The 16111-nt window shown below is 40.1% G+C and overlaps 1 protein-coding gene across 18 annotated transcripts in view; it reads right to left on the reverse strand.

Annotated features, from left to right (window-relative positions):
• The window catches only part of TATDN1 (TatD DNase domain containing 1), a 50595-nt gene that overhangs the window by 453 nt on the left and 34031 nt on the right, over positions 1 to 16111 (reverse strand). For 8 of the 18 annotated variants that reach the window (NM_001146160.1, NM_001317891.1, XM_024447293.2 and 5 more), the window contains 3 exons: positions 15325 to 15401; positions 6526 to 6596; positions 4887 to 5013 (listed from right to left, as the gene is read on the reverse strand). In NM_001146160.1, the coding sequence (NP_001139632.1) occupies positions 4887 to 5013; positions 6526 to 6596; positions 15325 to 15401 (275 nt within the window). The other 10 variants (XM_011517331.4, NM_001317889.1, XM_006716666.5 and 7 more) reach the window with 4 other exon arrangements.

Genomic DNA, 16111 nt, shown 5'->3' on the forward strand with positions numbered 1-16111 from the left:
GTATTATGTTCACCAATTATAGCATTAACTGAGTGGAAATGAAGAGTCCTTTTCAATTGTGAGTCATAGCATGTTCATTAGTGGGTCATGATGAGCATTTTAAACATTGACAAGTACATTGTACTCAATAAGGGTAAGTACTGTTCCATTTTTTGTTAGGTTTTATTATGTATGTGTGTCCTAAGTCACAACGTAATTTGTACTGTGGGACAGCAGCCACAGTTGGAAATCTACTGCTAGAGAACTAGTCCTTGAGAGACAGCAAATGAAGGTATTAGGTTGCTGCAAAAGTAATATTTACTTGGAAAAATGTGTGGTTATTGAGGGCGAGGGCTTTCTGTACCTCTACCCTTGCGAGAGAAATAAGCCCAGGTGTCCATCCTTCAGTTTCTTTCTTTCTCTGTCTCTCTCTTCCTTCCCTTCCCTCCCTTCCTTTCCTTTCTTTTTCTTTCCTTTCTTTTTTTTTTCTTTTTTCTTTCTTTTTTGAGACGGCGTCTTACTCTGTTGCTCAGGCTGGAGTGCAGTGGCACGATCTCGGCTCACTGCAACCTCTGCCGCCTGGGTTCAAGTGATTCTCCTGCCTCAGCCTCCTGAGTAGCTGGGATTACAGGCACCTGCCATCACACCCAGCTAATTTTTGTATTTTTAGTAGAGACGGGGTTTCACTATGTTGGCTGGCCGTGGTCTTGAACTCCTGACCTTGTGATCCACCCCACCTGGGCCTCCCAAAGTGCTGGGATTACAGGTGTGAGCCACCGCGCCTGGCCGCATCTTTCAGTTTCTGTGCTTACAGTAATGATGATCCGTAGTGTCTCCATACTTATTATATATAAGTGGAAGATTTTTAATACATGAATTAGAAAGTTCCAAAGTCCAAATTGAACATTTAAATATTCTTTGCCTAAGCTTTTTGTTCCCTTAGTATCTTAAATGTTAACACCTAAAGGAATTAAGGATGGAGATCTAAGATTAATGGGAATTTAAAAAATTGTTTTGTAATGTGACACAAAAGCCTTGCTTGATGTTTATACTAAGCAAACACTACACTAAAATTTTATCTGACAGTCAAGATACACTAAAAGCAAATCTATTAACATTTAAATTAAGACAGTGAAAATCCATTTTTCTTAGGAAACTACTGAATGTCCCTCTGTATGCACTTCTCAGAATTGGAACTCTTGATTAATGCTGCTGATGACACAGTTTTGAAGGTCACAGCAGCTTTGCTAAGATTATATTGCATAGCAAATTCATTTTATTGAAATCGCTTATAAGAAATCTATTGGGCTGGGCCCAGTGGCTCATGCCTGTAATCACAGCACTTTGGGAGGCTGAGGCAGGCAGATTGAACTCAAGAGTTCGAGACCAGTGTGGGCAATATGGTGAAACCCTATTTCTAGTAAAACAAAAAAAATTAGCCAGGCATGGTGGTGGACGCCTGTAGTCCCAGCTACTCGGGAGGCTGAGGCAGGAGAATTGCTTGAACCTGGGAGGTGGAGGTTGCAGTGAGCTGAGATTGTGCCACTGCGCTCCAGCCTGGGCAACAGAGCGAGACTCTCTCTCCAAAAAAAAGAAAAAAGAAAAAAAAATCTATTGGAGCTTAGGACATCCTATTTTACTGTTTGATAATGCAGTTTATGGAAATCTTTCTTCGAATAACCCTTCTGTAGCCAAGCCATGCTATTTCCATACATCTTCAGTGGTCAAAGCTGCAGTTATTCCAAAATGAATATAAAGTTGTTTAATGTCCCTGAGAATTTAGTGGCTTTTGTTTAATGTGGCACTTTTACAGTAAGCACAGGTTTTTGTTTTTTTTTTTTGAGAGAGTCTTACACTGTGGCCCAAGCTGGAGTGCAGTGGTGTGATCTTGGCTCACTGTGTGTGATCACACAGTGGTGTGATCTTGGCTCACTACAACCTCTGCCTCTCAGATTCAAGTGATTCTCCTGCCTCAGCCTCCCAAGTAGCTGGGATTACAGGCGCCCACCACCATGCCCGGCTATTTTTTTGTATTTTTAGTAGAGACAGGGTTTCTCCACGTTGGCCAGGCTGGTTTTGAACTCCTGACCTCAACTGATCTGCCTGCCTCGGCCTCCCAAAATGGTAGGATTACAGGTGTGAGCCACTGTGCCCAGCCAGGCAAAGGTTTTTAAAGTCTTGCAAGATCTACATGATTCCTACCCTATCTCCTTTCCAGCCCTTCCCCATACTGATACAAGTTATAGCTTTAAAAAAAATAATTGCCACTCTCCTGCTTAAAATCCTTTGGGTAGTGATAAAATCTAAGCAAAATGCTGGCATATAAGAGCCCTCACAATCTGGGCTCACTCTACCTTCCCAGACTTGACTTCTGCTTACACTGTGCATCCTACTTTCTGCCACACTTGTTCCTCTGGATTAGCCAGGCCCTTCTGCAGTCTGCCTTTGCTTAAGGTGTTTGTTTGTCTTTCTCTGGCCTAACTCCCAGTCATGGGTAAACAACTGAAATGTCACCTTGGTATAACTCTCTCCTGTTTCCCCTCAAAGCAGACAGTTGATGTGCCCTATGGTCCTGGTCATAGATTCCTACTTGTATAACAGCACTACTATCTTGGACTCTGTCTGCTTATGTGCTCCAGGAGGGCAGGGGTCCTCGCCTGACTCACTGAATGCCTTATCTAAAGTGCCAGGCACAGTGTACCTATTCATCTGGTGGATGGATAAAGACAGGGACTGTCTTGGTTCTTCCTGTGTAGCCTTAGTAACTTGTACCTTTCCTGACATGGCAGGGGCTCCAAAACATCTGTTGCAAACAATGTATATCTAAAAGACCTCTATAAAAATAATTAGAATGTAAAACTGTTAACAGAATGGAGGTTGAGAAAATGACTTTGCAAGTAGCAATTAACTTGCCAACTCATAATTAGCAGTAGATTAGAGGATTGTGTATTTTTTAAATGTGGTTTAAATCTTTTCAGCTTGCAGATGCTAGATTTTCCTAAGCTCTGCAACTAACTGAAGAACAAGTATTGATGAAGCCTTCACAGTTCTTTTTTTTTTTTTTTTGAGATGTATTTTCACTTTTGTCTTCCAGGCTAGAGTGCAATGGTGTGGTCTCTGCTCACTGCAACCTCCGCCTCCCAGGTTCAAGCGATTCTCCTGCCTCAGCCTCCTGAGTAGCTGGCATTACGGGCATCCGCCATGACGCCTGGCTAATTTTTGTATTTTTAGTAGAGACAGGATTTCACCATGTTGGCCAGGCTGGTCTCGAGCACCTGACCTCAGGTGATCCGCCTGCCTTGGCCTCCCAAAGTGCTGGGATTACAGATGTGAGCCACCATGCCTGGCCAGCCTTTATAGTTCTTAAACAGTCTACATTTAAAAACACCTTGAAATTTTGTCTTGCAAATATATAGCTAAAGTCAACAGCTATAATCTTACATAAGATTAAGGAAATATAAAAAACTTACTTGGATACACTGTTGGCAACTACTTCCTGTAAGCTGGCTGCTGTCAAAATACCAGTTTCTTTTCTCTAGTGTCCTTTTAGTTCCCCAAAAAATTGGCTGGGTGTGGTAGCTCACGCCTGTAATCCTAGCACTTTGGGAGGCTGAGGTCAGGAGTTTGAGACCAGCCTGGCCAACATGGCAAAACCCCATCTCTACTAAAAATACAAAAATTAACTGAGTGTGGTGGCATGTGCCTATAGTTCCAGCTACTTGGGAGGCTGAGGCAGGAGAATTGCTTGAACCCAGGAGGCGGAGATTGCAGTGAGCCAAGATCACTCCACTGCACTCCAGCCTGGGCAACAGAGCAAGATGGTCTCAAAAAAAAAAAAAAAAAAAAAGATTTAGAAATACTGTCTCATCACTGAATTTGCAAGTACTTACATTTCTTTATTTTTTAAAATTTTCTTTATTTCTTTAGAGACAGGGGTCTCCCTATGTTGCCTGAGCTGATCTTGAACTCCTGAGCTCAAGCAGTCTTCCCAAGTAGCTGGAATACAGGCGCAGGCCACCATGCCTGGCTGCTTCAGTTTTAAAGACTTTGTCAGCTCAAGCATGTTAATAAAGGAAAAGAACCTTTCAAACATATTTTTATAGAATAATTCTTCACTGTTCTTATCTGGCTTATCTTCTAATACTCTTTTCCTGTTAAAAACTACTGAAAAAAAAGATGGTGCATATGCAATGAATAGTCTTAAAAGCAACAACCTATTTTGTTTTCTTTTTTACCCCTCATGAAGACACAGTACCAATTAGTTTTTGTGAATGTGTTATAAGTATGCCCAATTGTCTGAATTGGTAAATCATATAAGACTGATATAATCTAGATTAATTTAAATTATCTGTTTGTGCAAACAAAAGAAATTGGATTATGTACCCATTAAAATGATATAACCACCTTCTCCTGTTTGTTACCTTTACAGCTCTTTGACAGATGGGTAATAGCCCCTCTTTTCACTTGTGCTATATATATATCACCATTTAAAAGATGATTCTGATCTGCTGCTTTTTTAGGAAATAAAACGTGCTAAAGTCCCACCCCCTTTGATTGGAAAAAGGGGGTAGGAAAAAAGGGGTTTGTCCTTAAGATCACTTATCCTTTTGTTCTGAGGCTTAAAGAAATGTGTTATTTCTTAGATTTATAGAGGCTGTCAAATCATTTAAATCCAAAATATTCTGCTAAGGCTTTCTTGTTACCAAAGAGTAGCAGGAAGCTGCAGTGAGAATGGAACTTAAACCAGGTATGCAAATTCCTCCAAATCACTGCATTAATATGGTGGTCTTGAACCTGAACTTCACTTGGATTTTGCAAAATTTTAATTCTGTCCCTTGCGTTAATTTTATAAGTGGCATCTGGTGGTTAACTAATGATTTTGAAGACCATGAAAGCAAAATACTCACATTATATGGCAGGGTTCATTTCTGTCTTTTAAGCAGTGCCCACTTTCCCACTTCTTTTTGGTAGGAAATGCAGTTCTTATATATTTTGATCCAGCATGTGTACTTTTGACTCCACACCAAGGTGCATCTAGTTAAGCAAAGAAAGTGTCTCGTAAGGGGTTTACATTTTTAAAAATTTTTTATGACCATTATCTAATATATAACCTCTAAATGATAAACCGTGATTCAGCTTCCAAAATGGCACAGTTATTTCAACAGAAAACAGTTCTAAGAAAAGCACAAGATAAAATCTTGAATTGCATCTTAAATACCTTCTAAGACTCACTTCTATTCCTTTTTTCTGCTAACATTGTTGGTGTGCAGCATGCTTTAAAAAAAAGACCTAAACCTTAAATACAATTGTATAACAACATGAAAACATTTAAGTTAAACAGTTTTTTTTTCAGTTTTCAAAATCTTTTTCGCTATGCATGTAGTGAGGTTTGCATAAGTTAAACAAATTTCTATCTCTACTGAATGTGAAACTGGTTTTGAATATTTTTTAATAAAGAATTACACATTTTGCAAACATCGTACTTTTAATCAAATATTTTGTTTTCCTGACTGCCCAAGGAAATGAATGTGATTTCTCCAGAATGGCTCAGTCTTGACTTTCCTAAAGTCCATGGTATAAGGAGAGCCTTGACAGGGTTTAGATAAAAGTTTTAGCTTTTCACCTTATTATTTTTTTGAGACGGAGTCTCACTCTGTCTCCAAGGCTGGAGTACAGTAGCACAATCTCGGCTCACTGCAACCTCTGCCTCCCGGGTTCAAACAATTCTCGTGCCTCAGGCTCCTGAGTAGCTGGGACTACAGGCAAGTGCCACCACCACACCCAGCTAATTTTTTGTATTTTTTTTTTTTTTTTGAGACTGAGTTTCGCCCTTGTTGCCCAGGCTGGAGTGCAATGGCGTGATCTTGGCTCACAGCAACCTCTGCCTCCTGGGTTCAAGCAATTCTCCTGCCACAGCCTCCTAAGTAGCTAGGATTACAGGCATGTGCCACCATGCCCAGATAACTTTGTATTTTTAGTAGAGATGTGGTTTCTCCATGTTGGTCAGGTTGGTCTTGAACTTCTGACCTCAGGTGATCCGCCCACCTCGGCCTCCCAAAGTGCTGGGAATACAGGCGTGAGCCACCGCGCCCGGCCTCACCTTGTTTTAAGAGGCAACGGATTCTAAAATTCTTATACTAAACCAATATAAATTGTTGCACTGTACAAAGTGCTGTAGAATTAAGCCATTATAAAGACACTGTGTAAACAAAATTCTGAACAGATTTTGAAACTTGGAAGTGTGATGTGCTTAGTCAAGACCCCTTGTTTAGCTAAGTACTCGTAACTACAACCTCCTGAGTTATATTCTGGCATCTCATTTTCTAAGTGCTTAGACATAGCAAACTTCTAAATTGAAAAAAATCATTTGCATATGTTTTTCCATTAATAACCCCCAAAGATCTTCTGGAAAACATAATTGTTGAGGTTGAGCATGCTGTTTTAAAATACTTGTTCACTTAAAGTTTGAAGTCAAATTTCTTTCTCCAGCTTTCCTTTTTGTTTGGTATGGTTTAATATGAAACAAAGTTCTGAAAACAAACTTACCTGTCTCAATCATTAATTTTTCACTAGGAATTGACTTCAAAACTTCCAAATTAGCTTCAGTTTTCAGTGAGCTTAAAAAAAAGTGTATATTTATTTTAAAAGGCAGCAATTAACGAATACCTTTTTTCGTATCACAACTTGTCTAAAATGCTACAAAACCAACCCAAAACCCTATAACACTTTGTTTTCAGTATACTTTGGAAAGTATTTGCACACCTCCATACTTCAACAATCCAGATTAACATCTATTTTAACCCAATCTGCCTTCCGGGGATGCAATTTTCCATGCTTATTAGTTGGTTTCCAATAGCGTTCTATATCAGTCTAAGTAAAATTTAACTTTTTAAAAGAATTCATCTGCTTCTGAGTAATTTGCGTAACTTAGAGGTGCTTCTAAGGCTGTAAACGTTCATTTCCTGAATTTTCCATTTTTAGCCCAAGACAGATTCTTCACTCTACTTTAGCAGAATTATGTATCTGCACCCTTGCCATGGTTTCTTTGTAGGATGAACTCTATTCCTTGAATCTGGCGTTGGCCTCAAGACTTGCTATGGCTGCCTGTGGCAGCCTCTATCAGCCAAAACCCAGCTGACTCAAAGATCCATGAATGCAAACATAAATGCTTCCTGTAATGTGGCAGTGAGGTTTGGGATGGTGTAGCATATAATGTGATGACAACTAATACTGTTCTTATATTACTTTAAAAACACAATTTCTCTAATCACAAATTTATTTTAAATTACTTTTTAGAGCAGTTTTAGGTTTACAGCAATAAAAAGTACAGAGATTCCCCAACCATATGCTCCCACTCTCAAAATTCTACACCATAGTGGTAGGTACGTTTATCATTGATGAACCTACCTTGACACAAAACTGTCACCCAAAACCCACAGTTTACATCAGGGTTCACTTGGTTTCATGTGTTCTGTGGGTCTGGACAAATATGCAATGACACGTATCTACCATTGTGGTATCATACTGAATAGTTTCACGGTCTTAAAAATCTATGGTCCGCCTATTCATCCCTCCTTCCCTCTAACCCCTTATCTTTTGACAGTCTCCATAGTTTTGCCTTTTCCAGACTGTCACATAGTTTGAATTACACAGTATGTAGTCTTTTTCAGGCTGCCTTCTTTCACTTGCAAATACACATTAAAATCCCATGTTTTTCATGCTTGATAGTTCATTTCTTTTGGCACTGAATAATATTCCACTGGACATACCACAGTTTATCCATTCACCTACTGAGGAACATCTTGGTTGCTTCCTTATGTAGCATTTTTAATTTCAGCATTTGTTATTACAAAGAATTTAAGATACACATTAAATTAGGTAATATGGACCTCTCATATAGTTATCACCCAGCCCCATCAATCAACACATGGCCAATCCAGTTCCATCCACTTACCCCTATTCCTCTCCTGTATTATCTTAAAAGGAAATTCCAGATGGACAGTTTTAATATTTATTTCAGCATTTAATTCAGGATGTTTCAACATGTATCTCTGAGCATAAGGATTCTTGTTTAAGAAAAACCCAAATCTTCTAGTATTCAAATTTCCAGTTGTCTCAGTGGCATACATTCTAAGTTTGATTAAATTAGGACACAAATGAGAGGCCCACACATTGCAATTGGTCATTGTCTTCTGAAGTCTCAACTTATTAAAATCTCCTGCATCTTTTCCCCCTTCAAATTTATCTGTTGAAGAAACCAAGCTGTTCACGCTGTGGAGTGCCCTAGTCTTGATTTTGCTGATTTCATCTGCGTTGCAGTTTAACAGGTTCCTCTGCCCTCTGTATTTCCTTCTTTCTTCTTCTTTTTTTTTTTTTTTGAGATGGAGTCTCACTCTGTTGCCCAGGCTGGAGTGCGTTGGCAAAATCCCGGCGAGCTGCAACATCCACCTCCCAGGTTCAAGCGATTCTCCTGCCTCAGCCTCCCAAGTAGCTGGGACTACAGGTGCCTGCCACCACGCCCGGCTCATTTTTGTATTTTTAGTAGAGAGGGGGGTTTCACCATGTTGGCCAGGCTGGTCTCGAACTTCTTACCTCAGGCGATCCACCTGCCTTGGCCTCCCAAAGTGCTGGGATTACAGGCACAATCCACCGTGACCAGCCTGCTCTCTTTATTTCTTATAGAAGATCTCGAGTACCATCTACAGGCTGGATAGGATTTGGGTTGGATTTTTTGTGGGGAAGACTATTTCACAGGTGGTGGTGTGATCTTTCATCCACAGGCATATATCTGGTGGTATTTTTGTGATCTAAGGCAGCCATGGATGCCCAATGCATAATTCACCAGGAGCTAGAAAATGCTGATATAATTCTATCAGCCCTTTACTTATTAGAGTACTTCCATAAAAAGAAAATTCTCTATGTCTACTACTTGATTGCTCAAATATATGTAGTTTGTATAAAAAAAATATGTATCTTTCTGTCAAGTGTTGATTCCCTAGCTTCGTCCAATGGTGCTATTACTTTAACATCACCATTTATTTATAATCTTTAAGGAGCTCTTATTCTTTTATGTTCTTTTAGCATTCTGTTCATATTTCATGTCTGTAACATCTCAAATCCCACTATGTTGGGTCGCACTGGGGTTAGTTTTTCTATTTATCTTGGCCTTTTTTCTTTCATGCTTCTGGTTCACCTCATTCGTCTGGTGGTCCTTGGATATCCATTTATATTTTGGGAGGTTGCTAGTGTTGCGTTTCCTTTGCTTTTGTGAAAGCAGGCCTGTTTTACTGCCAGTTCTCTTCTCCTAGTGGGGATTCTTAGTGGGACCTTCTTGTGGGAGTGGGTATATTATGAAACTTCATTTAAAGGTAAGAGTATAGGGAGCTAATTGTTAGGCTCATGGTTCTCTAAATGCTTTTCTTTGGGGATTGATGTAAGCACTCCAAGCCCTAGTCCTCACCATACAGTTTTTTCAATTTTCTTAAGAAAACCCCCACCCCCGGCCCCTGTGTAAATGTTTACTGCTTTTGTCCTCTATGCACAGGAGTGGATATGGGAGTGAGATCTTTTCTCTATATAGGCCCTCAATTAATCATCATTTCTAGTCCGATTTCACACTAATTCTAGGCCCAAAGCCCCCCTATTGGATTTTGCTAGACTTGCTCCCATCTCTTCTGAGGCCCCTTAGTGGTATAATCTAAGCTTTCTCTTTCAGTTTCACCTGTCTTCAGAAATCTACAGAACAGACGGAGTCTCTCACTATCACCTGGGCTGGAGTGCAATGGTGCAATCTCGGCTCACTGCATCCTCTGCCTCCCGGGTTCACACAATTCTCCTGCCTCAGCCTCCCAAGTAGCTGAGATTACAGGCGCACACCACCACACCCAGCTAATTTTTTTTATTTTTAGTAGAGACAGGGCTTCACTATGTTGGCCAGACTGGTCTCGAACTCCTGACCTCGTCATCTGCCTGCCTCAGCCTCCTGAAGTGCTAGGATTACAGGCATGAGCCACTGCGCCTGGCCTCTTTTTTTTTTTTTTTTTTTAATTTAAGAGATGGGGGTCTCATTATGTTGCCCAGACTGGTTACGCCTATAGCTCTAGCTACTGAGGATGCTGTGGCAGGACCATCACTTGAACTCCTGAGCTCACCCAACTACAGAACATTTCTTAGCAAAACTCTGGCCCTTTTTCTTTGCTATTACAGATTCTTTCCTTTTTCAGTATCTATAATTTTATTTTAGTAGGATTTTAGGAGGGGTGGGTGAGATGTCATTAGTTTGACATTAAGTAGCAATTAGTGCTCTCTAGAAAAACAAAATTCTTATTTTCAGCCAGCTTGGTCAATACAGTTATTTTCTAAAATATATTGATGTGCTTGGTATGGATAGTATATTTAGAACTTTTCACTAAATTTTCAGATTATTTGTATTTTTGATCTCACTAAATCATGTCTGATTAACTTAATATTCTTCTGTGTCTATTCTATGACTGTAAAATTTGCCCAAATATATATACTAATAAACATTTTAAATACAAGCCAGTATTTCTATTTAATAAGGCTTCCCATTTAGTGATGAGCAACTACACGATTCTGAAGTCAAGTTTGAAATACATCTTCCCATTTTCTTTTTTTTTGAGATGGAGTCTCACTCTGTCGCCCAGGCTGGAGTTCAGTGGGTGATCTCGGCTCTCTGCAAGCTCCGCCTCCCGGGTTCACGCCATTCTCCTGCCTCAGCCTCCCGAGTAGCTGGGACTACAGGCGCCCGCCACCACACCCGGCTAATTTTTTTGTATTTTTAGTAGAGACAGGGTTTCACTTTGTCAGCCAGGATGGTCTCGATCTCTTGACATTGTGATCCGCCCACCTCAGCCTCCCAAAGTGCTGGGATTACAGGTGTGAGTCACTGCGCCCGGCCCCCATGTTCTTTTTTTTTTTGAGACACAGTCTGGTCTGTTGCCCAGGCTGGAGTGCAGTGGCATGATTTCGGCTCACTGAAACCTCCGCCTCCTGGGTTCAAACGATTCTCCTGCCTCAGCCTCCCGAGTAGCTGGGACTACAGGTGCCCACCACCATGCCCAGCTAATTTTTGTATTTTTAGTAGAGATGGGGTTTCACCATATTGGCCAGGCTGGTCTTGAACTCCTGACCTTGTGAACCACCCACCTTAGCCTCCCAAAGTGCTGGGATTACAGGCGTGAGCCACAATGCCTGGCCATCTTCCCATTTTCTTGGGGGAAAAATTCTAATTTAACTTTTAGGAACCAAAGACTTTATGTAATATGCTACTATAAGTGGATTAAGTTATCATTCCTCAGAGACTCAGATTAAGATGATAATGAATTAGATTTGAAAATAAGAATATAAACATCCACTTTAATAAATGACTAACCTATTAATTCTGAAGCTAATATTAATGTAGGAGAAAAGAATCTTTTGTGATTAGCTTAAACTAACATCCTAATGAACTCAAGATCATTTAGAAATATCTAAGACAGGAGCCAGGTACGGTGGCTCATGCCTGTAATCCAAGCACTCTGGGAGGCAGAGGCAGGTGGATAGCTTGAGCTCAGAAGTTTGAGACCAGCCTGGGCAACATGGTGAAACCCCATCTCTACAAAAAGTACAGACATTAGCCAAGCATGGTGATAGGAGCTTGTGGTCTCAGCTATTATACTTGGGAGGATCGCCTGAGCCCAGGAGGTCGGGGCTACAGTAAGTCGTCCAGCCTGAGAGGCAGAGTGAGACCCTGTCTCAAAAAAAAAAAACAACAACTAAGAATTATGGTTTTAAGTTGGTAAAATAAAGATCTTCTACCCCCTTCTCTTAAAAAAAAAAAAACAAAACCAAACTTACAGGGAGAAAACCAGGATTTTTTTAAATGAAACTAGGAGACATATGTTACCCCAAATCACAACATATAGCTGAAAGTGGACAGAGAAATGATAAAAGACCAGTGTTTAAGTGCCAAGTAACTTAAATGCTATGTGCCTGGAAAGAAAGACAAACAAACCTAGAAGTAGATACAGTCCCTAGAAAGTGGAGTAAGGCAGGGACTGAAATGGAGATTCTTTGAGAAAACTCCAAGAGAAGATGGGGTTCCTAGGTTATGTATCTGTGACTTGGTGCAGAGAAAGAGGTGCTGGGTCTCAAGACAATCCACATCAGAAACAGCTGGAGAACAACAAGCACAGAGGAGTACAGGCGTCAGGCACAGGCCTGAGCATGGAGACTGGGGCAGCCCACTAAACAGTGAGATCCTCTAACCCATCCTGCTCCAAAATACTGTCAGGGACATTTACAAACCCCTTCCCTCCACTGTTCCCCACTTTTCCAGCAGAGAACACAGGATCCCTTTCTGGAGAAACTGAACCAACCCAGAAAAAGATCTCTACAAACTGACATTTGGGAATCCCTAGCAAAAAGTCAGTTGGCCATCTGAGCCTGCCAGTTGCTGGAATGCCTTCTAGAGAGCTTCCAAATGGCTTTTTTTTTTCTTTTTTTAAATAGACAGTGAAGGACTGCCTGACATTTGAAGAAAGTTTCCATCATCACAGAGACCAAAGGAAAGAAGAAAAGGTGACTGTGAGGAAACAAATGCAGGAAGACAAGCAGAAAGTAACTTTAAACTATAATTCATGTCTTTAGAGAGATGAGAAGACACTGCAGTATAAAAATAGAGTATTCAGAAATTGAAAACAAAAGTTGAAGTAAATTTCATAAAAAGGGTTACAAAATATAGCACTTTTTTTGGAAGGAGGGAAACAATGGAAATAGAATAAAAAGAATACGAGTTATCAGTCTAGTATGCCCAAGAAAAGAACAGAAGAGAAAAATCAAATTCCAAGGACGGGTAAAGATGTGCCCCCCACTGGAAGGGCTAATGAAAAAGCAACACCAGGCGTGATGAAAACCATCAACACACACCTTCGTGAAATTTCACATCAGAGATGAAAAACTAAAACCTTTCACAAGAGAAGAAAACTAGGTCACAGGTAAAGGATTAGGAATCAGAGTAGCAACTTTTCATCAACACTGGAACCTACTGATGGGACAGTATAAATTCTCAATGAAAATGATTTCTGATCTTGAATTTTATTCAAGAGAACTATCCATTGAAAGTGGGGGGCTGGGTGTGGTGGCTCACACCTGTAATCCCAGCACTTTGGGAGGCCGAGACGGGCAGATCACGAGGTCAGGAGGTCGAGACCATCCCGGCTAACACAGTGAATCCCTGTCTCTACTAAAAATACAAAAACAAAAAAAATAGCCAGGTGTAGTGGCGGGCACCTGTAATCCCAGCTACTCGGGAAGCTGAGGCAGGAGAATGGCGTGAACCCGGGAGGCGGAGCCTGCAGTGAGCCAAGATCGCGCCACTGCACTCCAGCCTGGGCGACTGAGTGAGAGTCCCTCTCAAAAAAAAAAAAAAAAAAGTGGGGTTCTCTCCCCTTTCATTAACTATCCAGGCTAACTTGTAAGAGGAAGAGCAGAAAAAAAATTCATTTTCAAAATGGGAAGATGTATTTCAAACTTGACTTCAGAATCGTGTAGTTGCTCATCACTAAATGGGAAACCTTATTAAATAGAAATACTGGCTTGTATTTAAAAGAAACTTAATTCCCATGAAAACATCCTCAGAGGATGTTATAGAATGTGTTCCACTAAAACAAACACGCAAGGAATACATGGGATCTAAAAATAGGAACTAGTCCAAATTGAAACACATGGAAGGGTCTGCAACTGACGGAACTATTAGATTATCTACATAGGTTTGCTCATGTGGTATACTGTGCTTAACATTTCTTTTCTTGTACTACTTTTTGTTTTCCTGGATTAACCTCCCTCATATTTTTATTTACTTGGCTTTCTTAAACTTGAAGCCCAGCCTGGGCACATAGCAAGACCCTGTCTCAACTAAAAATTTAAAAAATAGCCAGGTGTGGTGGCATGCACCAGTAATACCAGCTACTCAGGAGGCTGAGGTGGGAGGGTTGCTTGAGCCTGGGAGGTCAAGGCTGCAGAGTTGTGATCACGCCACTGCATTCCAGCTTGGGCTACAGAGCAAGCAAGTCCCTATCTTTAAAAAGAAACCAAAAAACAAAAAACTTGAAACCCTCTCATACTTGGCATAGCACTGTGAAATTATATATTTATATAGGCATAATAAGGAAACAACATTTATATAGACATAATAATGAAAACATTGAGTATGCATATAACCAAAAATTCTGAAATAACGACATTGAGAGTGATATGCAGAGAATGGAGGTAGGGGATTAGTACGGGATATAAGAACTAATGTGCTCATATACCCCAATGAGAATAGACAAAGGGGATGAATCAAGAGACAATAGTATATGGATATTATTTAGAAATATGGTGACAAATAGCAAAATTATTGCTGCTACAAAAGCTGACTTGGGGTAAGGTCATGCTGGGGGGACTCTGATATTTGTTCATATCTGTTAGTACTACTTGACTTTTTAATCTCTATGCATATATTCCCTTGCATATTAATTAATTTTAAAGTTAATTAAACCATTAATTTAAATATGAAAGCATCTTAGACATTTAAACTCTGAACTCTAGAGCAAATACATAATTCCATGATTCTATTTCCCTAGATTTTAGTCAAAAATAATGCAATTGGAAACATAATAATTTTAAGGGTATGAGACAATGAAGAAGGACAGAAACTCCTATACTATTTTGCAACTGATTTAATAGGCTACACTGACATCCTGTGAAAAGTCACTGGTAGAAGCTCTTACATATGTGACAAAACCAACCCAGAGACCTAGCTGTGCTAGCTGACTGTACTGAGTGTGTGAAGTTTAGTGTGGTACAACAGCAGAAAGATCACAGAGTGAGAAGCCAGAGGACATGGGTTCTCATACTTGGAGAAACTCTATACCTGTTTCCTAATTTCTTTGAGCCTCGGTTTCTTTGACTGCAGAGATGTATGACTGTCACAGAATAAACCGTTCGTCCATAGTCAGATATGACGTGTATATGTATACATAATGCTGTGAACACATGTTTTCAAGGGATCAAATGACCTGAGAATAAATTGGATTACCAGAGAAAGCCAGCTGCAGATCTCAACACAAAATTGTTTTCCATTATTAGAACATAATGTAGTAGTCTATAACTTTCGAGCTTTAACTTTTAATAGTAATGTACTGTTTAATTTCTTAATAAATAATTACTGAAATTCCCAGCAAAGATCAATGCAAACACACACAAACTTTAATGAAAATAAATCTTCATCAGCAATTCACTGTAAGACAATTTAAGAAATCTGCTTAAATAAAAGTTAAAAACCAAAGCAACCTAAGAACGTACCAACCATTAAATCCTATATAAAGATCCAAGTCAATCAAAGCAGCTGCTGCTTCCTTGGTACCATCAAATGAATGCACCTGGGGACATACAGGTATAAGTTTATTATTATAATAATTACTCTTTAAAATTCTAAGTGACATTAATAAGACTTTGTAGGCAAAAATATAGATCCCTGTAAGTTTTTGGACCTCAGGGTTTCAAAGGTGGTAGTCGCTATAATTTTTATTTTCATATTATTTTTCACAATTACAACCTGTCATCATCTCCAGTGACATGATGCAAAACGTTAGCTGCCGAGAATTTCTCTCTTTAGAGTGGCAGTGTTGCTGTCTCTGCACTAGCATTAGTGCAGAAGCTCCAGGAAGGGGTTTAGGAATAGATATATTCTTAGGCAAAAACATGAGGAAAGCTTAGTAATTTTATGGCACTATTTAAAAGAATTTTTAAAATACTGATGAATTTTCTGTTAGAGGATACTTTTTTTTTTTTTTTTGAGATGGAGTTTTGCTCTTGTTGCCCAGGCTGGGGTGCAATGGCGCGATCTTGGCTCACTGCAACCTCCACCTCCCTGCTTCAAGAGATTCTCCTGCCTCAGCCTCCTGAGTAGCTGGGATTACAAGCATGCGCCACCACGCCTGGCTAATTTTGTATTTTTTTTTTTTTTAGTAGAGATGGGGTTTCTCCATGTTGGTCAGGCTGGTCTTGAACTCCCGACCTCAGGTGATTCGCCCGCCTCGGCCTCCCAAAATGCTGGGATTACAGAGGTGAGCCACCGCGCCTGGCCGAG

Source organism: Homo sapiens, chromosome 8 (genome assembly GCF_000001405.40).
Source record: "Homo sapiens chromosome 8, GRCh38.p14 Primary Assembly".
Taxonomy (NCBI): domain Eukaryota; kingdom Metazoa; phylum Chordata; class Mammalia; order Primates; family Hominidae; genus Homo; species Homo sapiens.